We start from the raw sequence: 25575 nt of genomic DNA on the forward strand, positions 1-25575 counted from the left end.
TAATTCTCACCATTCTGGTGGGTATGAAATCGTATCTCATTGTGTATTTCAGTTTCTTTCTTTCTTTTTTTTTTTTTTTTTTGAGACAGAGTCTCGCTCTGTTGCCCAGGCTGGAATACAGTGGTGCAATCTCAGCCCACTGCAACCTCTGCCTCTCGGGTTCAAGTGATTCTACTGCCTCAGACTCCTGAGTAGCTGAGATTACAGGCGGCCGCCACCGTGCCGGGCTGATTGTTGTATTTTTAGTAGAGATGGGATTTTGACCATGTTGGCCAGGCTGGTCTCGAACTCCTGAACTCAGGCGATCCGCCCACCTTGACCTCCCAAAGTGCTGGGATTACAGGCATGAGCCACCGCACCTGGCCTCAGTTTCTTTTCAATTTAGAAAGGTCAACATCTAGTCCTAAGAGAGATGACAGCATGTTTCTTCTAGGATCTGAAAACACAGATCCAATGATTTGATGTATCCTTGCAAATTTTCCTATTTTAATTTAAAATGGGGGAAGACAAAGAAGGAGAAGGAGGAAGAGAGTTTCCTAAGGGAGCTGGTGAACTGGACCTGTGGGGATGGAATTCTGCTTTTTCTTCAGGACATATGTGTGGGGTTGCCTGAAATGTGTCAACGGTTCTTACAGTTTGGGACCAGTAGTGCCAACCCTCCAAGGCTTGTGCAGCCCCATTTCCTCCTGCTGCAGGCTCTCAGTGTCTTCTGAGCAGATTTCCCTTCTCAGTAGCAAAGCTGTGGGTTTCCTGCCTGCGATAGTGACCTCAGGGAGCTCCTGGGGCTGATGTGGTATTGGGATGGAGGGTCCTGGGTGTGTCCACCTTTCTCCTCATAAGCCCTCTCTGAGGAGCCGAATTCCCTCCTCTGTCAAATAGGAATAACCCTTCTGTGTCTACCTCCCATGGCAGCTGTGATGATCAGAAAGAAATGCATCTGAGAAAGGGGGAGGACATGTGAAAGGTGTCCCTGGTAGGAGATGGGGAGGTAGGCCATGTCCTCCCAGGGCTCCGTGGCACTCTGTCTCTCTCTCTCTTTCCAGGAGTCCGCTCAGAATTTGATCAGATCGACACATCCAACCCAAACTGTGTGGTAATTGCAGACGCAGGAGAAAGCTTTTCTTATCAAAACATGAATAACGCCTTCCAGGTGCTCATGGAGCTGGAAAAACCTGTGCTCATATCACTGGGAAAAGGGTAAGTTGGCTCCAGGGAGAGTCATTTCTCGGTGCTTTAGATGATGCTGTGCCAGTCTCCAACTTGCGGAATCAGGCAGAGAAGGATGCAGAAGGGGAGGTGGGAGGAGCACCGGTGATCTTCTTTTCCCTCCCTTTTTCATGCTTTCTCTCTTCATTTCTTTATTCCTCTCCTTTAATCATTTCTTTAGGAAATAGGAACACTGTCTTCAGGAGCTGGTTGATCAAGCTTCCATGTGGAGTCTAGACTAGAAGAGGGCGTCATTGCAGAGGGAGACCCTCTGGAGATCTCAGAGGCCAAGTGTTGATTGTCCCAAGTTTAGAGCAAAGAAGGAGAAGGTGCATTTGCATAGGATGTAGCAGGGTGTTGGAGAATGCTCTCAAGGGTTGTCTAATTAGTAAAACATAGGCTTGAGGGCCTACCCAGTCTGGGCACCGACAGTCTCTGGCCACAGATCACTGTCTCTGTGAAGTTGTGATTTTGTGATCAGTGTTTTGTCTGAGCCTTTAGCACATGCCTTGCCATCTCTTTCTTAAACAAAACAGTGTTGGTTATTTTTAACATTTTTCTTACACTGAGATAGCACATGTTCATTGAAGAAAAATTAGACAATACAGATGAGCAAAAGAAGAAACCAGAAAGTATTTTTAGTCCCACTGCACGAGGAAAACACCTGTCCCTATTTTGGTGTATGTCCTTGCAAGTGGCTTCCTGTGCGAATAGACTATTATGGATGGAGATGTTCACAGCATCGATGTCACACTTGACCTTGTTTTGTCATCTGTTTTTTATTGTTCACCAAACAATATTTGTGACTGACTTAGCATGCAGCAAATGGATATGTCTTGGGGCATGGTTATCTATGGTGTGGCTATCTTGTATATATATATATTTTTTAAGACTGAGTCTCGCTCTGTCACCCAGGCTGGAGTGCAGCGGCGTGATCTCGGCTCGCTGCAACCTCTCCCTCCCGGGTTCAAGCGATTCTCCTGCCTCAGCCTCCTGAGTAGCTGGGACTACAGGCGCCCGCCACCATCCCAGCTAATTTTTATATTTTTGGTAGAGGCGGGGTTTCACCATGTTGGCCAGGATGGTCTCAATCTCCTGACCTTGTGATCCGCCCGCCTTGGCCTCCCAAAGTGCTGGGATTACAGGCATGAGCCACCGCCCCCAACCTCTTGTAATTTTTTTCTTTTTTTTTTTTTCTGCTTATAAGTTTATTCAATGCAAAATAACCCTCACCAGTTTTACTGAGGTGGCTGACCATGTCCACGACCAAATACGCCTGTAAACTGAAATTCGGTTGCTGACCCATTCCCAGCCTCAGCTTTCTCACTGGCACCAGGGGGACAGCACTCCATCTGTGGGTGTCTCTTTCTCTCTATGGCTGTCTGTCTGTGGGTGTCTCTCTCTGTCTGTGGGTGTCTTTCGCCATCTGTGGGTATCTCTCTCTGTCTGTGGGTATCTCTCCCATCTGTGGGTGTCCATCTCTGTCTTTGGGTGTCTCTCTTTGTGAGTGTCTCTGTCTGTGGTTGTCTCTGTCTGTGGGTGTCTCTCTGTGAGTGTCCCTGTGAGTGTCTCTGTCTGTGGGTGTCTCTCCTCGTCTGTGGGTATCTCTCCCTGTCTGTGGGTGTCTCTGTTGGCTTCCCCACTTGTGGGTCTTGCAGGTCGGTCACGCTCCAGACCTTTAGGCCGCAGCCTGCCAGTCTCCAGACCGCTGTGGCATGGGGTAGCAGACACGCTCTCCAGGGGCAGATGGTGGTAATCGCAGAGATTCTGGATCCCCATGTGGGTGAGGTACCAGTAGAAATGTCTCCAGGCAAACTCCTTCCTGCAACCTCAGGACCTGAGAGACTGCCTGGCCTTCATGACGTGAAGGTTGGGCACATTCTCATCTGCCAGCTCCGGGTCTTAGGCAGGTGGACATTCTTCTTGGCTACCGTGACTCCCTCCTTAAAAAGGAGTTCATAAATAGCAATCTGGTTCTTCTTAGGCATCAACATCTCTGCAGCTGTAGGGTCCAGGTCCGGGGCTGGAAAGCATGATTTTTTTCTAACTGATCTCTGCTGATGGCATCTAGATTGTTCCTGGTTTTTCACCATACCAGGGCTGTGATGAGCATCTTGGTGCATTTCGGATGACGTCTCCAGATACAGTTACAGAACGAGTATTTTTGAGGTTCTTGAGGCATGTTGCCAAGTTGTTTCCAGAAAGCTGCACAGACTTATTCTGCACAGCCTAGAATTCTAGAATCACAGGGTTCTGCACAACCTAGAGTTCTGGAATCACAGGGTTCTGCACAGCTAGAATTCTAGAATCACAGGGTTCTGCACAGCTAGAATTCTAGAATCACAGGGTTCTGCACAACCTAGAGTTCTGGAATCACAGGGTTCTGCACAGCCTAGAGTTCTGGAATCACAGGGTTCTGCACAGCTAGAATTCTAGAATCACAGGGTTCTGCACAGCCTAGAGTTCTGGAATCACAGGGTTCTGCACAGCCTAGAGTTTTGGAATCACAGGGTTCTGCACAGCTAGAATTCTAGAATCACAGGGTTCTGCACAGCTAGAATTCTAGAATCACAGGGTTCTACACAGCTAGAATTCTAGAATCACAGGCTCCCAGGGTTGCAAGGACACTTTGGAGTGTCTACCTCAGCATCTCATGAAGTGTGGGAATTCCGAGGCGGTGGCGGAGGAAGTGTTTTCCATCTTCGGTGCTTTCGTTGCTTCTGGTGACAGCGCTCACTGCCTCTGCTTGCTGTACGGGACCAGCTGATGGAACCGACAGGGAGGGACTTTTTATCTGGCCATTGGCCACTGCCACACACTTTGTGTACCCCGTTTTGTGTAATTCTGACTACAACCTTGTGGGATCTAGGCAGGTCATTGCTGTTTTGCAAGTGGGGTTGTTGAAGCCACAGGAGATGAAATAAGCTGCTGTCCCCCAGCCATTGAGTGCTGATAGGATCAGGAGTGCCAGTTGGTGTGGCTGACCCCAGACCCTGTGCGTGTTACCTCTAAGCTACATTCTAGAGCAGACTTTTTGCCCACACAAGCCTTAAATGTGGGCTGGGGACAGTGGCTCACGCCGGTAATCCCAGCACTTTGGGAGGACAAGGTGGGCAGATCACCTGAGGCCAGGGGTTCAAGACCAGGCTGGCCAACATGGTGAAACCCTGTCTCTACTAAAAATACAAAAATTAGCCAGGTGTGGTGGTGCGTGCCTATAGTCCCAGCTACTCGGGAGGCTGACGCATGAGAATTGCTTGAACCTGGGAGGCAGAGGTTGCAGTAAGTCAAGACTGCGCCATTGCACTCTAGCCTGGGCGACAGAGCAAGACTCCATCTCGAAAAAAACAACAAAACCTTAAATGTATTTTTGAGGCTGTGTTTAAAAATGGGGATATTTTACACAAAATATCCAGATTTCTGGATTCTTTTGAAGAATCAGAAGATCTGACAATACGGAGCCTCACATTCCTGCACACACAGCAGCCATAGCTGGAGCCACTGCCTCCATTAGTTTGAATTTACTGCAGACCCCACTCCTCCCTGTCGTCCCTGTCTCCAGACCACAGAGTTAGTTGTCATTGATCGTGTGCCATTTGTTGTTTTTTTCAAAGTAGAGAAGTACTTCTTCACGCTGTGTCTCTATCAAAAATGGACAAGTGAAAGATGTTTCAAGAAATGAAAAGATTTTTTTAGTGACAAAAAATTTCTAGTATGTTTCTCATATAAATAAAATGTGTCCTGTATGTAGTCAGGGTTCCTCAGAGAAGCCCGAAGCTACAGGATATAGATATGTAGAGAGATTGTGGAGGCTTGGCGAGTCCAAAATCTGCAGGGCAGGGCTGGCAGGCTAGGGACTCAGGAATGCGCGCAGCAGAGTCGTAAGGCTGTGTGCTGGTGGGATTCTTGCTCGGGGAAGGTCAGTCTTTGTTCTTGTAAAGCCTGCAACTGGTTGGATGTGGTCCACCCACATTGCGGAAGGGAATGTACTCTCCTCCTAGTTCACCGATTTAAATGTTAATCTCATCCAAAAACACCTTCACAGAAACATCCAGAATAATGTTTGACCACATATCTGGGCACCGTGGCCCAGCCAAGTTGACATATTAAATTAACCCTTGTAGTCCCTTTTTAAACTTACACCCATTGCAATTTAGGTCGCTGCTATGGAGCAAGCCACAGAACCTGGCCTCTTAACTCATTTACCCGGGCTGACCCATTAGGCCTTTGAGTCACCAACACCTCACTAGAGAACAAGCATAATGAAGAAGCTCTGCTGTAATTCGTTAATGTTAACACTTTTTTCTTTAAAGATGTCTCATGCTGAGCTTCGTGGCACACGCCTATAATCCCAGCACTTTGGGAGGCTGAGATGAGAGGATGGCTTGAGCTCAGAGGTTCGAGACCAGCCTGGGCAGCATAGTAAGATTCCGTCTCTACAAAAAAGAAAAGAAAAAAAGTTGTCTCATAATTATTAAAAACCACTATTCCAGATCATGGATAATAATAGTCAGAACAGGTATATTGTTGAAAAAGAAAAAAAAAAACCGGAAGCAGTCGCTTTCAGCTTTGTAATACCGCAGCAAATGTCATAGTAGACAAGGGTTTTTTTAAAGTAGGAGATTAGTGGCGTCTCTGCTGATGGGGGTTCTGGGTGTTTAAAAACCAGAGAAAGGAACCGGCGGTTTTAGGGACTAGGTCCCAGCTTCTCAGGACAGCCTGAGGACCCCCCGAGAGCTGCCATCACCATGCCGTCCTCGGCTGTGGGTCACTGCTGGTGAGGTCCATCCTGCACTGCGGGACACAGGGGCACAGGCTGAGCGGTGCCCACCAAGGAGGCAGGAGCAGCGGGTGGAGGCGCCGGGGCAGACTGTCCCTCTCCTGGAAATGGAGTGATTTACATTTGGCATCTGTTTGGACCCCAGAGTGGGAATTGGCTTTGTAATTTCTTCTGTCATGCCGCTCTCAGAAAATTAAGCTGTTTACCCGACAGACTATGGAAGGTTAACGGCTCTTCTGGGAAAGGTCAAGTGGTCATTTGCAGGGAGGCTGTGCTGAATAATCTGAAACGGCAGAAGAATAAAGCATAAAATCGCATCTGACTCCTCCTCCCGGGCTTCCCCCTTTCTTTCCAGCATCCACGGGTTCCTCTTTGTGGCTAGAACATTCACGTCCTAAGTGGGGCTGCCGTTGGCTGGGTTAAACCAGTAACCAGTAACAGGAGAAATACGTCGCATCTCTAGTGTGTGGAGATTACCGGGCCTTTATATTAAAAAAAAATTTTAAGTGCTTATATTTGCTCTGTCTCTAAAAAATGTTTCCAGGTAACAGTTGGCCTCAAGATGCCTTTTTGTTTTTCTGAATGAATAAGGAATAAAGAAAAATTCTGGGCACTATAAAATCAAGCCCAGATTCAGTTTTTTAAAAAATAAACGTTAAAGTTTCTCATTTTGATTTCTGGAAGTTCGTGTTCTCCTTGGACTCTAAAGATTAGCATGCAAAGACAAGGTTTTGATTGTGTATTTTCAGTTGCACGTTCAGTTTTTTTAAAATCCCATCCAGGACTAAATTTAAACATAAGAAAATCCAGGTTTCTTTCGCTTTCGAAGAGGCTGCAGGGAACTTGAGGCCAGAGGAAGTGGCGCCGCGTGGGTCCCCTTAGGAGGTTTTGCCAGATGATGGGAGGTGCTTGCTCCCGTCCACCCAACCTCTAGCTCCTCCAGCCGGCCCCAGGGTAGCTGAGGGACAGGGGTCTGGGCCCAGAAGCCCCCAGAATCCTCAGCTCCAAACAGAGCTGTACCTGTCGCAATGGAGTAGTTTTGTTGATTTCAGGTTTTCTTTTGTTGCTGGGTAAGCATTTCCTGTGTGGGGTATATTCTTTCCTCCGTCCTGGCTTACTTCCACACATCACTTCATTAGGGAGGCCCTCCCTACCCACCTCGATGCCCTCCTTCTCCTGGCACAGGTGGGCAGGAGGGGACGAGGGTCATGGCCTTTGAGGGCCTGCAGAGGGCCTTGCCTGTGGTGGCGTGGCCACCCTGGTCCTCAGCAGGGTGCTCAGTGGATTCCAAGGTGCTCCCTGGACCCGGACCTCCCCTTCACTTCCTTTTAGCTCAGGTCTCAGCTTTCCATGCCTCTGCTGCCTCCCTGAACCCAGCCTGTCCCCCGCCCTGTTCAAGCAGACTGCCCCTCCCCTGGGTCCTGCCCTTTAAAGTTTGTCTGTGGGCTTCTTTGCTTCCCCACCAGACTGTGAGTCCCTGTGGAGCAGGCTGGGGCTGGGAGTATCCCTGAGTCCTGCAAAGGGCTGTGGAGCATCTGGGATCGTTAATGCCAAGGGGGACCAAGGTAACCTGGGCCATTTGCAGCACCAGCCAGTGCAGGCCCCAGGACCCGGTGTCCCCTCACTGTTTCCTGAGAACTCTGGACCCCACTAAGGAAACCATCAGACCAAAGTAGCTGATTGTCCAACTGGGAAAAAGAAAAAGCAGTACTTTTTTAGGCCATGTAAATGCAAAATATACATTTGAAGTCTGCGTTTAAGACATGAACTTAGAGATTTCTAAGCCTGTTTTTGGGGGTCACTCTAAAAGGGAGGGCATTTTCAGGTCCCCCCTCTGTGAGCATTCACAGCATCCCAGCCAGCCTGTATCCCTGTGCCGTGACCCCAGAGCACAGAGCCTCAGAGGCTGTGGAACAGGCCTGGGGTTCACGTGGAGAGTCCCAAGCCCACGTCATGACAGGAGATGCCCACACCTTCAACAAACAGACTCCAAGCTCCAAAGCTGCCTAACAGGAGTGGCAGGGGGACCAGCCCTGGCAAGGCCCAGGTTTGGCTGAAGCCCGTACCTGCAGCCCAGCTTGTAAGTTTAGCCGGGAAGCATCTGAGGCAGGCAGTGGAGGACGCACAGGGGTGAGCGGTTCATCTCACAGGTGTGGCTGGGTGCCTGCTACAGCTTCAAGGCATCAGGTGGGGCAGAAAGGGACAGGCAGGGTGCCCAGGAGTGGCGGAGCTGGAGGAAGGGCACAGCCCCAGGGCAGCTCCCGAGGAGCTCAGTTCTCACACCCCAGGTGGTCACAGAACACATTTCAGCCCCCAAATTGAACAGGGCTGTGTTCATTTTTTCCTTCCCCCAGCTCATCTTATTGCTTGTGTCAGCCTGGGTGAAAGGTTATTTATAATAATATTCTCCTGTCTCATCTGGGCAGCTTCTGCATGGAAGGTACCGAGTTAATAACTTTGCATGCGTTATTTTGTTCAAGCTTCACAGCAATCCGTGAGGTAGGTATTGTTTGTTGTTCGTTTTGCCCATTTTACAGATTAGGAAACTGAGGCCCACAGGCGTAAGCAACCCAAAGTCACACCGTTAGAAGGCAGTGAGATCTGAATGCTCAAGTCAGCATGCGCTCTTCTTCCCTCTCGTTTTCTGCATACGTGCTTTCTCCACGTCTCCCATATCGTAAGGGCATGGCAGGAGGAGAGGGAAACTGATGTGATGGTGGATGGCAAAACATTTTAGTGGTTCCAAGAATCAAGCCCCCTTGTGTATTCTTGGCTTTCAATGAACTGCGTCTTCAGAGCAGCGCAGGTTAAACCACTTTCTCGCCTCATTGTAGTCAATTGGCTTAGTTCAGCCAGAGCCAGGTCTGGCCCACCATGTGTCTGGACTGTGAGTGCCTTGAGGCTCAGTGTGACGCGATCGTAGGGTGAGCCTGGCCGGGCTGCAGCCAGCCACCAAGCCAGCCCTGGGCTCAAAGAGCAGTGAGGCCATTTTGAGAGAGGAATGCTCCCTCGTGCAGAGCCTGTCTCCACCTCCATGAGACGGGAAGGAACAGTTGTCTTCTCATAAAAGCATCTGGCGCCCATGAAACCTGGCACCTCGCTTGACCTCCGGCTAACGGGATGCGGCAGGGTGCTGTGGAACTAATGGAGTTCTCTTCTTCAGCCAGCAATTAGGGGTTAATTATTAGCAATTAGGGGTTCGCCACATACCCCGTGGACCTGCTGTTCCTTCCCAGGACACAGGTCACTTGTCATTCTCTGTGTTAGCAACTGAAACCGTCTGCCTTCTGGGTCCCCTGTTAATCATTGCAGCAGGGTCCCCACGAGTCTGACAGCAGGGTTGCGTTCTGTGCGACCTGTGGCATCCCTGGAGCTGCTGGCTGCTGCGCTCGCCCCACTGGGTGTGGCGGCCTGCCGCCCGGCTCTGTGGTGCTGGTCCCCTGCGGTCATTCTCAGCGTAGCGCCTGGACTGCCCCTCAGCCGCGGCTTGGCTCTGCAGCCAGCGGGACAGGCCCGGTGCTCAGCTCCCGATACTTAGCATCCTGCGGTCAGCTCCCCGTGCTCAGCATCCCGTGCTCCGTTCTGCTCTCTCCTAGGCGTTACTACAAGGAGACCTCTGGCCTGATGCTGGACGTTGGTCCCTACATGAAGGCGCTTGAGGTACCAGCCCTGGTTCTGTCCCAAACTCTCTTCAGACCTCAGGGCACCTGGGACTTTTTGGGTCTTTGTTGAGAAGAGGCTGTGCTTAATTAACGTACAAATGGCCTTTTGGGCTTCCACAAAGGCTGCCTTCCTATTCTGGGCTCCCCTGGCCGGGCCCTCGGGCCCTCAGGCCCTCAGCTGTCCTCCTCCCTCCCCATCTCTCCCTTCCCATCCTTCCCATCCTCCCCATCCTCCCCATCCTCCCCATCCTCCCCATCCTCCCCATCCTCCAGTGGGCGCAGCCCCCCCTGCCCGCCGTGGACCCTGCCGCTCTCCCAGCTGCTCTCTGCCACACTCCTCTCGGGCTTGTGGCTTCTGTATCAGTGCTGACCACCGCTCTCATTCCTGACCCTGGGCATCTGCAGCACCTCAAGCTTGACGGGTCCTCACTGGCCTCCTTCCTGACTTCCCCTTCAGTTTCCAAGGCCATCTGTGGCCAGGCCTCCGGGTGGGGCTCCCCTGGGTCCACTCTGGCCCAGGTCCCATTAGCTGCCCCAGGTCAGCCTCACATCCCGTCCCATCCTCACAGCTGCAGCCCCTCCTGCCTGCCTGCCGTCAGGTGGGAGGGAGAGGCAGACGAGCAGATGGAGCCCTGTGATGAGCTGCGAGTGGGCAGGGGAGAAGAGGGGGAGAAGGGATGAGAGGACGGAATTGCAGGCGAGTGAGCAGAGCACTGCTCTGCTGGCCCTTGGGAGCCCTGTAGTTTTGCCAGCTCTTGGATGCCTTCTGCTGTGGGTAGGCCTTTGAGTGGATGGCAGGGTGCCTGGTGCTAGGGGACCTGAGTGACCCGGGCAGCCCTTTCTGGAGTTGTGAGGCTCCTGCCTGTGAGATGAGTTCTCAGGCCCACAGCATCCTGCTTCTTCAAGGCCCTTGACTCTTGGGGGCACATTTGGGACAGTGTTTCCGTGGCTGGGCATACACCTGTTCCTTGATCCCAAACTTATGCCATGTCCCTCTCTCTTTTCCCAGTATGCCTGTGGCATCAAAGCCGAGGTGGTGGGGAAGCCTTCTCCTGAGTTTTTCAAGTCTGCCCTGCAAGCGATAGGAGTGGAAGCCCACCAGGTAGGTTGGCGCCTTGTGAAGTGGGTCAGGGGAGGCAGCCCCGTCAGGGAGGCCCTGGAGCTTGGAATGGATTACAGGACTCAGGCAGCCTGTGGGGTTGGCCAGGCAGCCAAGCGTGGGCTCCCTGTGAAAGCTGACCTGGCTGGGAAGGAGGGGGAAGACAGCAAACGAAATCCACTGAATAGTTTCAACCGTGAAGTTACTTTCAGTATGAAAGCAAGAAGCAGAAATGCCTGCGGCTTTTCCTGAGTTTTTGCTGCTTCTCTGAAAGGATAAGAATTGACAAGTCCTATCAGTGTGTTAATATATCTCACTGGCAAGACAGTGTAACAGCAAGATTACAACAATATGGAGGAAATAATAAAGTCACTCATTTTGCGACCTTTATATTTTGACTATTTTGGGATAGATTGCCTTTCAAACTTCCAAATTTTAGAAAGGAAAAAGAATCGGTTATGATTTTATTGTCTACACCTACCCCAACCCTAAGTGAGTCTGGCTTCGTCCTCCAGTGGGTTTTCTTTTCTTTTTCTTTTTTTTTTTTTTTTTTTTTTGAGCCAATGTCTCCATTTGTCACCCTGGCTAGAGTGCAGTGTAGTGGCACAGTCATGGCTCACTGCAGCCTGGACCTCCCAGGCTCAAGCGATCCTGCCATCTCAGTGCCCCCTTAACCCCCTTACTAACCAGGCCCCCCCCCCGCCAACCCCAACTGAGTAGCTGGGACTACAGGTATATGCCACCACGCCTGGCAAACTTTTTTTTTTTTTTTTTGAGACAGAGTCTCACTCTGTCACCCAGGCTGGAGTGCAGTGGCGCTGTCTCGGCTCACTGCAACCTCCACCTCCTGGGTTCAAGCAATTCTTCTGCCTCAGCCTCCTGATGAGCTGGGACTACAGGTGTGCACCACCACACCAGCTAATTTTTTATTTTTAGTAGAGACAGGGTTTCACCATGTTGGCCAGGCTGGTCTCAAATTCCTGACCTCAGGTTATCTGCCCGCCTTGGCCTCTCAAAGTGCTGGGATTACAGGTGTGAGCCACCATGCCCAGCCCCGGCTAACTTTTGTATTTTCCATAGAGATGGGGTTTTGCCATGTTGCCCAGGCTGGTTTTAAACTCCTAGCTCAAGCCGTCCTCCTGCCTCGGCCTCCCAAAGTGCTGGGATTACAGGCATGAGCCACCAACACACAGCCCCCTCCAGCAGGTTTTCTGAAAGATTGTAAGGAATAGTGGGCAGCCGGCATGGAGGCTGACGCCTGTAGTCCCAACACTTTGGGAGGCTGAGGCAGGTGGATCACTTGAGGTCAGGAGTTTGAGACCAGCCTGGCCAATGTGATGAAACCCCATCTCTACTAAAAATACAGAAAAACAAAAAAAATTAGCTGGGCGAGGTGGTGCATGCCTGGTAATCCCAGCTACTTGGGAAGCTGAGGGATGAGAATTGCTTGAACCTGGGAGGCAGAAGTTGCAGCGAGCCGAGATCATGCCACTGCACTCCACCTGGGTGATAGAGTGAGACTCCTTCTTTAAAAAAAAGAAAAAAGAAACAGAGTCCACAGCTGCCCCAGGCTGTCCTGCTGCCTCCTCAGAAGTGGGCAGCAGAAGCATGGGTTGGGGGTCCCTCAGGTGTCAAGCCTGGTGCATGTTTCCCCTGTGTGCATTTCGGTCCAGAACACTGGTGCCTCATGGTGCTTTGAGAAAGATGGCCCAAAGCTGCCAAAATCTAGACACTGCACCTGCACCTGCCCTGAGATCCATAGAGATGTCAGAAGATGCAGGCTGTCTGGAGTCCCCAGAAAACACCTGGGAAATGTCACATTAGTCTGTTGAGAAGGAAAGGTTTGTGTTTTGAATGAGTGAGAACTGCAGCAATAAATAACCTGGCTTTTTACTACCTTGCTTCATAGGGCAGAATTTCTTTTTTTATTAGAGATTTCAAACATACAGAAAAGTAGAGAGAATGATACAGACACCCCATTATATCCATCATCCAGCTTCAGTGGTTAAGATTTTGCCACATTCCTTTCTTCTATCCTCTTTTTTTTCCTTTTAAAAAATTTACTGGCTGGGTGTGGTGGCCCACGCCTGTAATCCCAGCACTTTGGGAGGCTGAGGCAGGTGGATCACCTGAGGTCAGGAGTTCAAGACCAGCCTGGCCAACATGGTGAAACCCCGTCTCTACTAAAATATAAAAATTAGCCGGGTGTGGTGGTATGCACCTGTAATCCCAGCTACTCAGGAGGCTGAGGCAGGAGAATTGCTTGAGCCCAGGAGGTGGAGGTTGCAGTGAGCCGAAATTGTGCCACTGCATTCCAGCCTGGGCGACAGAGTGAGACTCTATTTCCAAGTAATAGTAATAGTAATGATAATAATAAATTTACTTATTTTTTTGCTTCATATTTTAAAGCAAATCTCAATTGTATCCTTTCATGTTGTAGCATGACATTTAAAAATCACGATTTTTGGATGTAAATACAATACATTAAAACTCCTAACATGGCCAACAGGCATACAAAAAGATACTCAATATCATCATTCATCAGGAAATGCAGATCAAAACTCCAGTGAGATACCACTTCACACTAAGATGACTGTATAGTTAAAAAAAAAAATAGAAAATAACAAGTGTTGGCAAGGATGTAGAGAAATTGGAACCCTTCTCTATTGCTGCTGGGAAGGTGAAATGACAATGCTGCCACGGAAAGCCACTTGGTGGTTCCTCAAAGTTAAACATAGAATTTGCCGTATGACTCAGCAACCCATTTCCAGGTCTATACCCAGAAGAACTGAAACACGTGTTCAAACAAAAACTTGTACACAGATATTCATAGCAGCTCCATACACAATAGCCAAAAGGTAAAAAAAGCCAAGATACCTGCCCATCAACTGATGAAAGGATAACCAAATGTGGTATGTCCATACAGTGGAATATTATTCAGCCATAAAGAGGAATGAAGTTCTGACACATGCTACAGTGTAGATGAACCTTGGTAGCATTATGCTAAGTGAAGGAAGCCAAACACAAAAGGACACATATTGTATTCTTCCATGTATAGCAAATGTCTAGAATGGGCAAATCCATAGAGATGGAAAGGAGATTAGTGGTTGGCAGGGGTCGGGTGCAGGGGAATGGGGAGTGCAGCTTCAGGGTACGAGGTCTCCTTTTGGGATGATACAAATATTCTGGAACTGGGCCGGGCACAGCAGCTCACACCTGTAACCACAGCACTTTGGGAGGCTGAGGAGGGTGAATCACTTGAGGTCAGGAGTTCGAGATCAGCCTGGCCAACATGGTGAAACCCCGTCTCCACTAAAAATACAAACATTAGCCAGACGTGGTGGTGTGCACCTATAATCCTAGCCACTCGGGAGGCTGAGGTGGGAGAATTGCTTGAACCCAGGAGGTGGAGATTGCAGTGAGCCGAGATCGTGCAACTGTGCTCCAGCCTGGGCGACAGAGCCAGACTCTGTCTTAAAAAAAAAAAAAAAAAAAAGAAAAATATTCTGGAACTGGACAGTGATGATGGTGGCACGACGTTCTGAATGTGCTCGATGCCAGTGAATTGAATACTCTGGTCACGGTCATAAATTTTATGTAATGTGTATTTTACCACAATAAACATTTTAAAACCACCTAAAAAATTAACAGTGATTTTTGTTAGTATTATTTAATAGCAACCCATATTTAAATTTCCTTGACTGTCTCAGAAATGCTCTTTTACCGTTGATCTGTTGGAATCCAATCTGAAGAAGCTCCGTGACTTGTGTGTCGTTTTTATGTTTTCTGAGCCTCTCTTTTTAGCCCTCCATCATAGAACATTTGAAATATCTATGTCAGTAGAGAGGGCAGCTCAGGGAACTCCTAGGTACCCATCACTGTGCTTTAATAATTATCAACTAATAACCACTTTAAAATTGTTTTCAACTTTTCATTTTGAAGTAACTTGACACTCACAAAAAGTTGCAAACATAGTACAAAATGTTCACGTGTACCGTTCAGCAGCTTCCCCATCATCATCGAGCAGTGATAAAACCGGGAAATCAACACTGGCACAAGGCGGTTAGCTAACCTAGAGAGCTTATTCAGACACCACCAGTCATCCCACTCATGGCTTTCTGGGGACACGTTGCATGTAGCAGTCATGACCCTAGTGTCCTTTATCTGTGAACTCTGATCACCTGTTGAGGAGGTGTCTTCCAGAGTTCTCTACTGTCATTGCTATTTGTCCCTTTCAGTAATTATCTTTTTTTTTTTGAGACGGAGTCTCGCTGTGTCACCCAGGCTGGAGTGCAGTGGCGCTGTCTCAGCTCACTGCAAGCTCCGCCTCCTGGGTTCACGCCATTCTCCTGCCTCAGCCTCCCAAGTAGCTGGGACTGCAGGCGCCCGCCACCATGCCTGAGTAATTTTTGTTTTTGTATTTTTAGTAGAGATGGGGCTTCACCATGTTAGCCAGGATGGTCTCGATCTCCTGACCTCGTGATCTGCCCGCTTCGGCTCCCAAAGTGCCGGGATTACAGACGTGAGCCACCACGCCCAGCCTTTTTTTTTTTTTTTTTTTTTTTTGAGCAGGAATCTCATCCTGTCACCCAGGCTGGAGTACAATAGCATGATCTCAGCTCACTGCAACCTCCTCCACCTCCTGGGTTCAAGTGATTCTCCTGCCTCAGCCTCCTGAGTAGCTGGGATTACAGGCACCTGCCACCAAGCCCGGCTAATTTTTGTATTTTTAGTAGAGACAGGGTTTCTCCATGTTGGCCAGGCTTGTCTTGAACTCCTGACCTCAGGTGATCTGCCTGCCTTGGCCTCCCAAAGTGCTGGGATTACAAGCGTGAGCCACTGCATCCAACCCTAATAAGTATCTTGTGGGAAAGTTCTTTGACACTATGTAAATATTCTCTTTCTGATCATTAGTTCTAATTTTGGCATCTCTTGATAATTCTTTTATTTTTTTATTTTTTGAGACAGAGTTTCACTCCTGTTGCCCAGGCTGGAGTGCAGTGGTGCCTGGGCTCACCACAACCCCCTCCTCCTGGGTTCAAGCAATTCTCCTGCCTCAGCCTCTTGAGTAGCTGGGATTACAGGCATGTGCCACCACGCCCATCTAATTTTGTGTTTTTAGTAGAGACGGGGTTTCTCCATGTTGGTCAGGCTGGTCTCAAACTCTCAATCTCAGGTGATCCGCCCGCCTCGGCCTCCCAAAGTGCTGGGATTACAGGCATGAGCCACCACATCCGGCCTTCATTGGTGTATTTTATGTGTGGCCCAAGACATTTCTTCTTCCAGTATGGTGCAGGGAAGCCAAAAGATCGGACACCCCTGCTCTAGAGGTTTATGACCAAAATACTGTATTTAAAGCTGCTGGGAATAATTCTTTTTTGTGGGTGGTATTCCCCCAAGTGGACGCTCTTTGAATTCATTTTCATTTTGATGTTTAGGGAATTGGCTTAACATTTACATTTGTTTTGTAGTTATGTAAAACATTTATATGGTTCTAAAATCAAATCCACAAAGCAAGACATATTCAAAGAAGTCCAACTTCTTTTCCTTCTATTTTGTTTTTACCTGTCTCTGGTAGGTAGCCATGTTTATAAATATTAAAGCTATAAATATTTTATAAATATTATAGCTTTTTTTATTTAAAAAATAAGCAACTATGTATATATTTGTATTCCCCTCATAGGATGAATTTAAGAGACAAATTCTCAAAATAATGTGTTTTATATATAGAGAGAAAGGCTAATGCTTTAAGTTTAAAAATCAGTATTTAAAAGTTTATAAGTAGGCTGGGCATGGTGGCTCACACCTGTAATCTCAGCACTTTAGGAGTCCAAGGAGGGCGGATCACCTGAGGTCAGAAGTTCCAGACCAGCCTGGCCAACATGGCAAAACCCCATCTCTACTACAAATACAAAAATTAGCCGGGCCTGGCAGCAGGTGCCTGTAATCCCAGCTACTCAGGAGGCTGAGGTGGGAGAATCACTTGAACCCAGGAGGCGGAGGTTACAGTGAGCCGAGATCCTGCCACTGCACTCCAGCCTGGGTGACAGAGTGAGACTCTGTCTCAAAAAATAAAATAAAATAATATAAGTGGTATGATCACAACCATCTCAAACAGCCCCCTTCCCCCGACCCAAAACCCAAACAAAAACAAAACCCTGCCACTGCCTGGAAAATAAGACCTGGCCAGGTGCCATGGCTCACGCCTGAAATCCCAGCACTTTGGGAGGCCGAGGTGGGCAGGTCATTAGAGCCCAAAAGTTTGAGACCAGCCTGGGCAACACGGAAAAACCCCGTCTCTACAGAAAAAATGCAAAAAAAAAAAAAAGGCAGATGTGGTTGCATGTGCCTATGGTTCCAGCTACTTGGGGGGCTGAGGTGGGCAGATTGCTTGGGCCCAGGAGGTTGAGGTTGCAGCAAGCTGAGATTGCACCACTGCACTCCAGCCTGGGCAACTGAGCGAGACCCTGTCTCAAAAAAAAAAAAATAGGAAAGCAAGAAGGAAGGAAGGAAAGAAGGAAGGAAGGAGGGAAGGGGAAGGGAAGAGAGGGGAGGAGACGAGACTGGCTGTCCAGATGGCATTGCTGGTGATATTTGGATGGTCTGACCTTGGGTGGTCTCCCTGCCTTTTTCTTGTGGCATTTTCAGTTATTTTCACAGTCAGCTTCCTTCACATTTCGAATGAGATACAGCCCACCTCACCGCCGAAAGAAGACCCCTCATGGGGGTCTGGTGAATCTGGGTTTGTCGTTTTCGGATGCTGGGGCAGTGCGTCTGGGAGGGAGCGGGGCTGTGGATTCCTGGTGGGTCACCGTGGCTGCTTGAGGCTTTGGTCCCTGCCGCTGCCATCCACCCTGAGCATCTGTGGCCCTGGAGAGCGAAAGACTTGTTTCCTCTGGTGGCTCCGAGCATATGTGGCAAAGCTGTGTCTTATTTACCTCCCACATCATCATCCTCTCCTACCCTCATATGACATTTCTGCCTGTCCCCTTGACAGTGGAGTAGCAGCTGCATGTTCCGAACGTCCCCACCCTGCCATTTTCCTAAAATGCTCACTAACGTTATTTGACTCTCAGGATGTGTAGACATTTTAAAGCTGTATTTCAAGATAAGGCCATTTCAAATGAACTGTGTCTTATGCACAGGGTAATAATTCTCTGTTCCTGGCTTTTTTATTTTTAATGAAAAATGCCTGCAAGGACCTCTCTTGCTGCTGAATGCCAGGCTGTGGCAAACCTTAAATTTTTCCAGCTGCTTTAATCAATAAAGTTATCACCAGTCATTTCCCTTGATCACTGCTGCTTCCCGAGACCCTGACCTGCTTCTTGCTGCTGAGTTTTCAGTCTGCACTCAGAATAGATATAACTCCCCAAATCCAATTTTCATTTTAACCTTTCCTCAGTGGCCTAGAAATCACAGATTGCTGGTATTATGCTAATAGATTGGAAATTCAAACCTCTTAGAGGCAACCTGGCCCTTTCTAGGATTCAGTAATAAGGCAAAGAATAACATACCTTAAAGGTTACTTCTAGAAATATCTAATTCTCACGGTTTAAGCTTCTGAATCAGTGGATGGTTTTATAGCTTCATATGAGCACCCAAGTGATGTGAAGGTTTTGGCAGTTCTCCATCATCATAAGAAGTTCTGTGGGATGCAAATCCTGCAGGTTTAGTGGAGATTGAGACTGTTCAAACCAGAGCACTTAGTTATATGTGACAGCCAAGAACCCTCGCCTGGAGGGGCCCGTTTCACAGGTGAGGAGCCTGAAGCTTAGAGATGAAACACCTTGTCATAGGCGCTTTGCATTCCCACCATGAGGTTAAGACAGGATTTCTCAGGCTGGGCGCAGTTGCTCACACCTGTAATCCCAGCACTTTGGGAGGCCGAGGTGGGTGGATCACGAGCCCAGGAGTTCGAGACCAGCCTGGGTAACATGGTGAAACCCTGTCTCTACAAAAAAATACAAAAATTAACTGGGCATGGTGGCTGGCACATGCCTGTGGTCCCAGCTGCTCAGGAAGCTGACGCACGAGATTCGCTTGAATCTGGGAGGCAGGGGTTGCAGTGAGCCAAGATGGTACCACTGTACTCTAGGCTGGACAAGAGAGTAAGACCTTGTCTCAAAAAAAACAACAAACCCCCCCCCCACCCCGCGGTTTCTCAACCTCGACACTTGGTGTTTTTGGACTGGGTCATTTTGTGGTGAGGGGATGTCCTATGCATTGTAGGGTGCTAAACAGCATCCCACTGTCCGCCCACTACATGGGACCACCCCCTTCCCAAGCTGTGAAACCAAAATTGTCTGTAGACATTGCCAGATGTGCCCTGGGGAGAACCGCAGCATTAAGCGGTATTAAGAGAACGGTTACGGAGAACTCTAGTACTGAACCCAAGATTACTTTGCCAATGAGGAGTGAAGCCAGGCACCAAACCATCGTCTTCCAGCCCCGTCCAGTGCTCTTTGCCATAGCCCAACTCTCAGGGAGGACCAGCGGTGCAGCAGAATTTCTTAGGGAGGTGGGGAGGGTAGGGAGGATTTCAGGTTGGGGGGTAGGGAAGATTTCAGGTTGGCGGGTAGGGAAGATTTCAAGTGGGGTGGGTAAGGAGGATTTCAGGTTGGGGGGTAGGGAAGATTTCAAGTGGGGTGGGTAAGGAGGATTTCAGGTTGGGGGGGGTAGGGAGGATTTCAGGTGGGGGGGTAGGGAGGATTTCAGGTAGGGGGTAGGGAGGATTTCAGGTGGAGAGGTAGACAGGATTTCAGGTTGGGGGGTAGGGAGGATTTCAGGTTGGGGGGTAGACAGGATTTCAGGTGGGGGGGTAGGGAGGATTTCAGGTGGGCGGGTAGACAGGATTTCAGGTGAGGGGGGTAGGGAGGATTTCAGGTCGGGGGGTAGACAGGATTTCAGGTGAGGGGGGTAGGGAGGATTTCAGGTGTAGGGGTAGACAGGATTTCAGGTGGGGGGGTAGGGAGGATTTCAGGTGCAGGGGTAGACAGGATTTCAGGTCGGGGGGTTAGAGAGGATTTCAGGTGGGAGGGTAGGCAGGATTTCAGGTCAGGGGGATAGACAGGATTTCAGGTGGGGGGATAGGGAAGATTTCAGGTGTGGAGGGTAGGCAGGATTTCAGGTCGGGGGGGTAGACAGGATTTCAGGTGGGGGGGTAGGGAGGATTTCAGGTGTGGAGGGTAGACAGGATTTCAGGTGGGGGGGTAGGGAGGATTTCAGGTGTGGAGGGTAGACAGGATTTCAGGTGGGGGGATAGGGAGTATTTCAGGTGGGGAGGGTAGGGAGGATTTCAGGTGTGGAGGGTAGACAGGATTTCAGGTGGGGGGATAGGGAGGATTTCAGGTGTGGAGGGTAGACAGGATTTCAGGTGGGGGGATAGGGAGTATTTCAGGTGGGGAGGGTAGGGAGGATTTCAGGTGTGGAGGGTAGACAGGATTTCAGGTGGGGGGATAGGGAGTATTTCAGGTGTGGAGGGTAGACAGGATTTCAGGTGTGGAGGGTAGACAGGATTTCAGGTGGGGGGATAGGGAGTATTTCAGGTGGGGAGGGTAGACAGGATTTCAGGTGTGGAGGGTAGACAGGATTTCAGGTGGGGGGGTAGGGAGGATTTCAGGTGTGGAGGGTAGACAGGATTTCAGGTGGGGGGATAGGGAGTATTTCAGGTGGGGGGGGTAGGGAGGATTTCAGGTGTGGAGGGTAGACAGGATTTCAGGTGGGGGGGTAGGGAGGATTTCAGGTGGGGGGGTAGGCAGGATTTCAGGTCGGGGGGGTAGACAGGATTTCAGGTGGGGAGGGTAGGCATGAGGGCTGCAGTGATCTTCATGGCTCGCACCCTCAGAACTGCCTGTGAAAAATGGGGGTGAGGTTTGCAGGCTTATCCAGAGGCCTGGCCATATAAACTCAAAGGTGCCCTACCATTTCGTTCCCTGATTCTCAGGGCATCAGTCCTGACTATAGGGGTCTGGGGACAGTCTGTACCCCTAGGGGGAGGCTGGTGAGTGGGGAGTACATGTCTGTCCACATGGGGGCCACTCCGGCCCAGTTCTTTCTGCTGTGGCCTCCCTCCCCCATGGGTGTTTCCACTGAGGCCTCCCCACGAACTCTGTTGGCTGAGCCCCACCTCCCAGCCGTGGGCATTTTCTTTGGATTGTCAGTGTGGGGATGACCCTGCTCAACTCCTGACTGGGAGCAGGCTGGCCTGCTGGGCCGTGCCCACTTCCAGCACTGAAAGAATGGGCCCAGGACGGGGGTCAGCCCTCCTGCAGCCCTGGTTTGAATTGGAAACTCTGTCCACCGATGCCTGGCACCTGGCACCTAGCCCTGCAGCTGTGGGTCTGAAACTGACGGGAGTTGCAGGAGCTTCCGGCCCTGGCTTTGTCTTTGTGATGTGTCCTAGTCATAAGGTGCTCTGAGACCTCATGGCTTAGTTTTCCTTCAGAGTTTTTTCTCCCTTGGAGGCTTTTTTTTTTTTTTAAGTAGATTTTATTTTCTTCTCAAAACACAAGTATTTAAAATATCTGATTATGAAGCAACTCATGCTCATTAAAGGAGCTAAGAAAAATTCAGGAAAGTACAAGAAGAAAAGAAACCACTCATTTCACCAGCCCAGAATAACACAAATCATGCTTGATCTTGCCAATTTTTTGTGTCTATATATACATTTTTAACACAAAATTGGGATAATCTTGTATCTGCTGTTTGAAATCTGAGTTTTCCCCCTTAATATCCTATTGGGGACAATTTTTGTTAACTTATATTTTAGGTTCAGGGATACGTGTGCAGGTTTGTGATACAGGTACATTGTGTGTCTTGGGGGTTTGGTGTGCAGATTATTTTGTCCTCCAGGTCATAAGCCTAGTACCTGTTGGGGTAGTTTTTCAATCCTCACCCTCCTCCCACCCTCCACCCTCAGGTAGGCCCTGGTATCTGTTGTTGCCCTGTGTCCATGTGTATTCAGTATTTAGCCCCCACTTATAAGTGCAAACACACAGTATTTGGTTTTCTGTTCCTGCATTAGTTTGCTTAGGATAATGGCCTCCAGTTCCATCCCTGTAGCTGCAAACGACATGACCTTGTTCTTTTTTAGGGGACAGCTGTCTTTGTGCTTATTGAAGCACTTTAACGAAGCAGTTTTCACAGCTGCATACTATTCCACTGTTCAGACTCCCGTCATATTCTTGACCATTTCCTATTGATGGAGATGAGGCTGCTTCCAGTTTCGCTCTTGTGCGTAACCCTGATGAACACATCTTGTATGTACATCCTCTTGTACATTTCTAATTATTTGCTCCAAATCCTAGTGGTGTGGCTGGGAGGCTGTGATGCATGTTGCTTATTTCTGTTTCAGAAAGGTGTGTCCGTTCACCTTCCTGACCTGCTGCGTATACAGATGCTTGTTTCCCCACATCCTTACCAACACCATGATTTCTGACTTTTTTTTTTTAAAGTGGTCTTTGAGTTTTGCTGTTAGTCTTGTTCCTTATGAAGGTGTCCGACCACAGTGGCAATTACTCAGCATTGCACTGTCTCCAGGTCTCTGTGGGAGCCTGGGTTCCTTTGGGGCCTGGATTCAGGGCTCATCCTAGAGTGAGCTGTCATCTCAGGGCATCTCCCTGGGGGATATGTGCACCCCAGAGCTGCAGTTACAGACACTGAGCTCACTCCACCTTCACCACCCAGCCCTGCTGCTTCCCGCCCTAATCCTCCTGGCAGAGCCCCTGGATAAGGAAAATATTTGTGAACCACGGAAGCTCTTTGGTGCTGGAATTTTGCACTCCAAAGCATCGCCGCCTGTTAGATGATGTTTCCCTCCAGCACCTAGGACACTGAAGAGGAGACCAGGGCAGGCAGGCAGATGCGTAAGAGGGAGGATTGACTGCTGTAGCACCCGACCCAGGACACCTGCCTCTGGGACTGTGGCGCCTCCATCCGGCTCTCTGGATCCTGGGTTCTGGGGGGTCCGACCTTTCATTTTTTTCTCCGCCTCACACCCCACCATGTCGTGTCTGAAAGGAAGCGAAGCCCAGCCCTGGCAGGTGGAGTATTTTTATTTCCCCTGACAGCGCACCTCCTGACCTCTATCTTCTTGCCAGTGATTTTTTAAATCCTAAATGATTTGGCAATAATTGCTCCTCCTTGCGTGATTATTGCCCTTCACCGATAGTAAATCTGGGAATCCCCTGGGGTCCTGAGCGCACTTTGGTATGCGGAGCCCACAAGCTGGCCTGGACAGGCATCACTGCTCCAGGCAGCTGTGCACCCAGCCGGCCCTGGCGTCCCGGCCCCCAGCCTCCGCCTCCCTCGCCGACAGCTTCCCGGGGCTCTGCCTGGAGGCAGCCTCGCTTTATCCCGCAGAACCTCCACGCTGTTCCTGCATGAGAACTCTTCCTCCAAGAGACCACGTTCCTCTGGTCCTGTCTCCGTGGGCCACATCCACAAATGTTCCAGCCCAGGAAGAACCAAGTCTGTATTCTGGGAGGGAAACCTGTGTGCTGTCTGGTTTTGTATGTGGGAGGAGCATGCACACAGTTTCATTTTCCCCGGAAGCATGGAGGTGTAGGATGACATGTAATATTTGGAAGACCCATTGCATTTCCAAGGAACCTTCTAGCAGGATGGCCCTGGAGTCTCTGGCAGCAGTGGACATGGTCCTGAATTGGAGTGCTGTGAATGTTCACTGCTGACCTCACGGTTTGAAGACAATTCCTTGAGAAGGGCAGAGGGGACCCGAATACGGGGGCTCTGGCCGGCCCTGCTGCCAGATGCCAGCAGCCGTGGGGGCTTGCCCGGCCAGCCCTGGCTTTTCCCAACCCTCAGAGTGCCCCTTGTGCATGCAGCAGACACTGGTGCTGGTCCCATTCCCGGGAGCACGCGGTGCCACTGGCTGTGTCTTGCCTGGCCAGGTGTTGGTTTGATAGACTCGAAAACCTCATTTGGATTTGGCAGGATTTTCCCTAACATCAGTCATTCTGGAAAAAACACTTTGAATTTTTACCATATCTGGGTATTTTTACCATATCTGGGTACTTGCCACTAGCTCTATTTACTTCACGTTTCTTAAAATTGATTCATTTTATTACTTAAATAAATGTATTTTAAAAGGAACTTTTGATGACTACTATAAATGGAAAACCAGAATCTCTCACTTACCATAATAGATTAATCTAAAAATAAAGACCACATGATTACATTAAAATGTATGTCCTTGCTCTGCCTGGAGTCAAATAGTATGTCACCCGTGTGCATGACACACTCTGGGAAGCACAGGGGTGGGTGGAGGAAAGATCAGAGAAAATCCGTGGAAAGTATGAAGTAGAGAGCACCACACCAGGAAGACGTGGTTTTATTTCAGTACCTCATGTCTCGCGGTGGCTTGCGGCTACCAGTAACTGGCAGAATTCTCAACATTGTGGCCCTCAGCCACCTCCTCCGAGCTCTCTCTCAGCACCACCATCCGCCGTGGCTTCTCTGAGGGAGGCCCCTCTGGCCTCTGCTTGACTATGATACATGTCGAGTCCATGCCGAGTGGCAGAAAAGCTCCGTTTTCAGCTGAAACTACCTCCCTGGCCTCAGGGGGCCTCATTGGCTCTGTCTTTGTACTTTCTCAATGGCTCCTGATGATTCCTTGGTTATCTGAAGGCCTGTTTGGGAGACGGTTCCCAGGACAGTTGCTTCAGGCTTATATGTGTGTGCTTTCTGGAATTCACAGCATGGCGTGCCCTGGTGAGTGGTGGGGAGATGGGTAGTGAACACGTGTGGTAGCCCCTGCTGGGCGTGTCCCACCTGTCCTCCATGTCCTACAACCTGGTTGGCCCCTTTTGCTTGTCAGAGCAAAGCTCAGAACCTCACCTCCTCTGGGAGGCCTTTCCTGACCACCCACAAGCCCAGTAGGTCAGGAGGTCAGGCCTCACAGCCTCCTGTGTGTTATCCCAGGCCCTGATGATGAGACTGTGGAATTACCTGATTAATGTCTGTCTTTAGCACTTGTCGTGAGCTCCGTAAGTGCTGGGACTGCATGTGTCTGATTCACACTGTGTGCCCACTGCCTGGCCTGGCACTGGCCTGCGAAGGCCTAGGGCAAAGGTATCAAGTAACCAGGGCAAGGGTGCCTGTTGCAGGTCGGGGGCCTCTCTGATGTGGTGAGATAGGGAATTTCCTCAACGAAACATTTCCTCATGTTTCTGTTTCCTTTGTAACATGTTTAGGCCGGGCGCGGTGGCTCACACCTGTAATTCCAGCACTTTGGGAGGCTGAGGCAGGTGGATGACTTGGTCAGGAGATCAAGACCATCTTGGTTAACACGGTGAAACCCCGTCTCTACTAAAAATACAAAACAAACAGCGGGGCATGGTGGCAGCCGCCTGTAATCCCAGCTACTCAGGAGGCTGAGGCAGGAGAATGGCGTGAACCTGGGAGGCGGAGCTTGCAGTGAGCCGAGATCGCGCCACTGCACTCCAGCCTGGGTGACAGAGCGGGACTCCGTCTCAAAAAAAAAAAAAAAAAAAAAAAGTTTAGGTAATGTATTATGTCCTGGCCCTGTGCTGGGTGCTTCACTAAGATGATTTCCTTTAAACGCCACACCTGTTATACCCATTTTACAGATGGAGGTGGAGGCTGGCCCAAGGTCACACAGCCAGCAAACAGGAGAGCTGGGATCTCCACCCCACTGCTCTAGCTCAGCGTGAGACAGGAGTGAGTCTGTGCATCTGCTGGCCACATCGGGCCCGCCCCCTCTTTCTGTGGTCCCCTTCCCCCAGATGGAGAGCAAATTCCACCTGGACCCGTCCTTGCAGGCAGAGTCCAAATCTATGGGACACACACTC

At 49.7% G+C, this 25575-nt stretch overlaps 1 protein-coding gene and 1 pseudogene across 9 annotated transcripts in view, besides 3 other annotated features; one reads left to right on the top strand and one right to left on the bottom strand.

Annotated features, from left to right (window-relative positions):
* Nucleotides 1-25575, top strand: part of LHPP (phospholysine phosphohistidine inorganic pyrophosphate phosphatase) — a 152319-nt gene that overhangs the window by 25556 nt on the left and 101188 nt on the right. For 5 of the 9 annotated variants that reach the window (XM_005270026.4, NM_022126.4, NM_001167880.2 and 2 more), the window contains exons 3-5: nucleotides 1044-1197; nucleotides 9583-9646; nucleotides 10658-10750. In XM_005270026.4, coding sequence (XP_005270083.1) covers nucleotides 1044-1197; nucleotides 9583-9646; nucleotides 10658-10750 — 311 coding nt within the window. Of the gene's footprint in view, nucleotides 1-1043; nucleotides 1198-9582; nucleotides 9647-10657; nucleotides 10751-10949; nucleotides 11138-21839; nucleotides 23949-25575 lie in introns of those variants that run through there. The other 4 variants (XR_001747177.3, XM_011540058.4, NM_001318332.2 and 1 more) reach the window with 4 other exon arrangements.
* On the bottom strand, nucleotides 2814-3237 carry RPS10P18 (ribosomal protein S10 pseudogene 18; annotated as a pseudogene).
* Nucleotides 7822-8399: an enhancer, noted in NCBI's record as "H3K27ac-H3K4me1 hESC enhancer chr10:126183769-126184346 (GRCh37/hg19 assembly coordinates)". NCBI's record gives its function as "activates a minimal SCP1, AML or CMV promoter by ChIP-STARR-seq in naive H9 embryonic stem cells {active_cell/tissue: H9 hESC(naive)}" and the evidence as "EXISTENCE:reporter gene assay evidence [ECO:0000049][PMID:30033119]".
* Nucleotides 8400-8977: an enhancer, noted in NCBI's record as "H3K27ac-H3K4me1 hESC enhancer chr10:126184347-126184924 (GRCh37/hg19 assembly coordinates)". NCBI's record gives its function as "activates a minimal SCP1, AML or CMV promoter by ChIP-STARR-seq in naive H9 embryonic stem cells {active_cell/tissue: H9 hESC(naive)}" and the evidence as "EXISTENCE:reporter gene assay evidence [ECO:0000049][PMID:30033119]".
* Nucleotides 8978-9555: an enhancer, noted in NCBI's record as "H3K27ac-H3K4me1 hESC enhancer chr10:126184925-126185502 (GRCh37/hg19 assembly coordinates)". NCBI's record gives its function as "activates a minimal SCP1, AML or CMV promoter by ChIP-STARR-seq in naive H9 embryonic stem cells {active_cell/tissue: H9 hESC(naive)}" and the evidence as "EXISTENCE:reporter gene assay evidence [ECO:0000049][PMID:30033119]".

This window comes from Homo sapiens, chromosome 10, assembly GCF_000001405.40.
Source record: "Homo sapiens chromosome 10, GRCh38.p14 Primary Assembly".
NCBI classification, from domain to species: domain Eukaryota; kingdom Metazoa; phylum Chordata; class Mammalia; order Primates; family Hominidae; genus Homo; species Homo sapiens.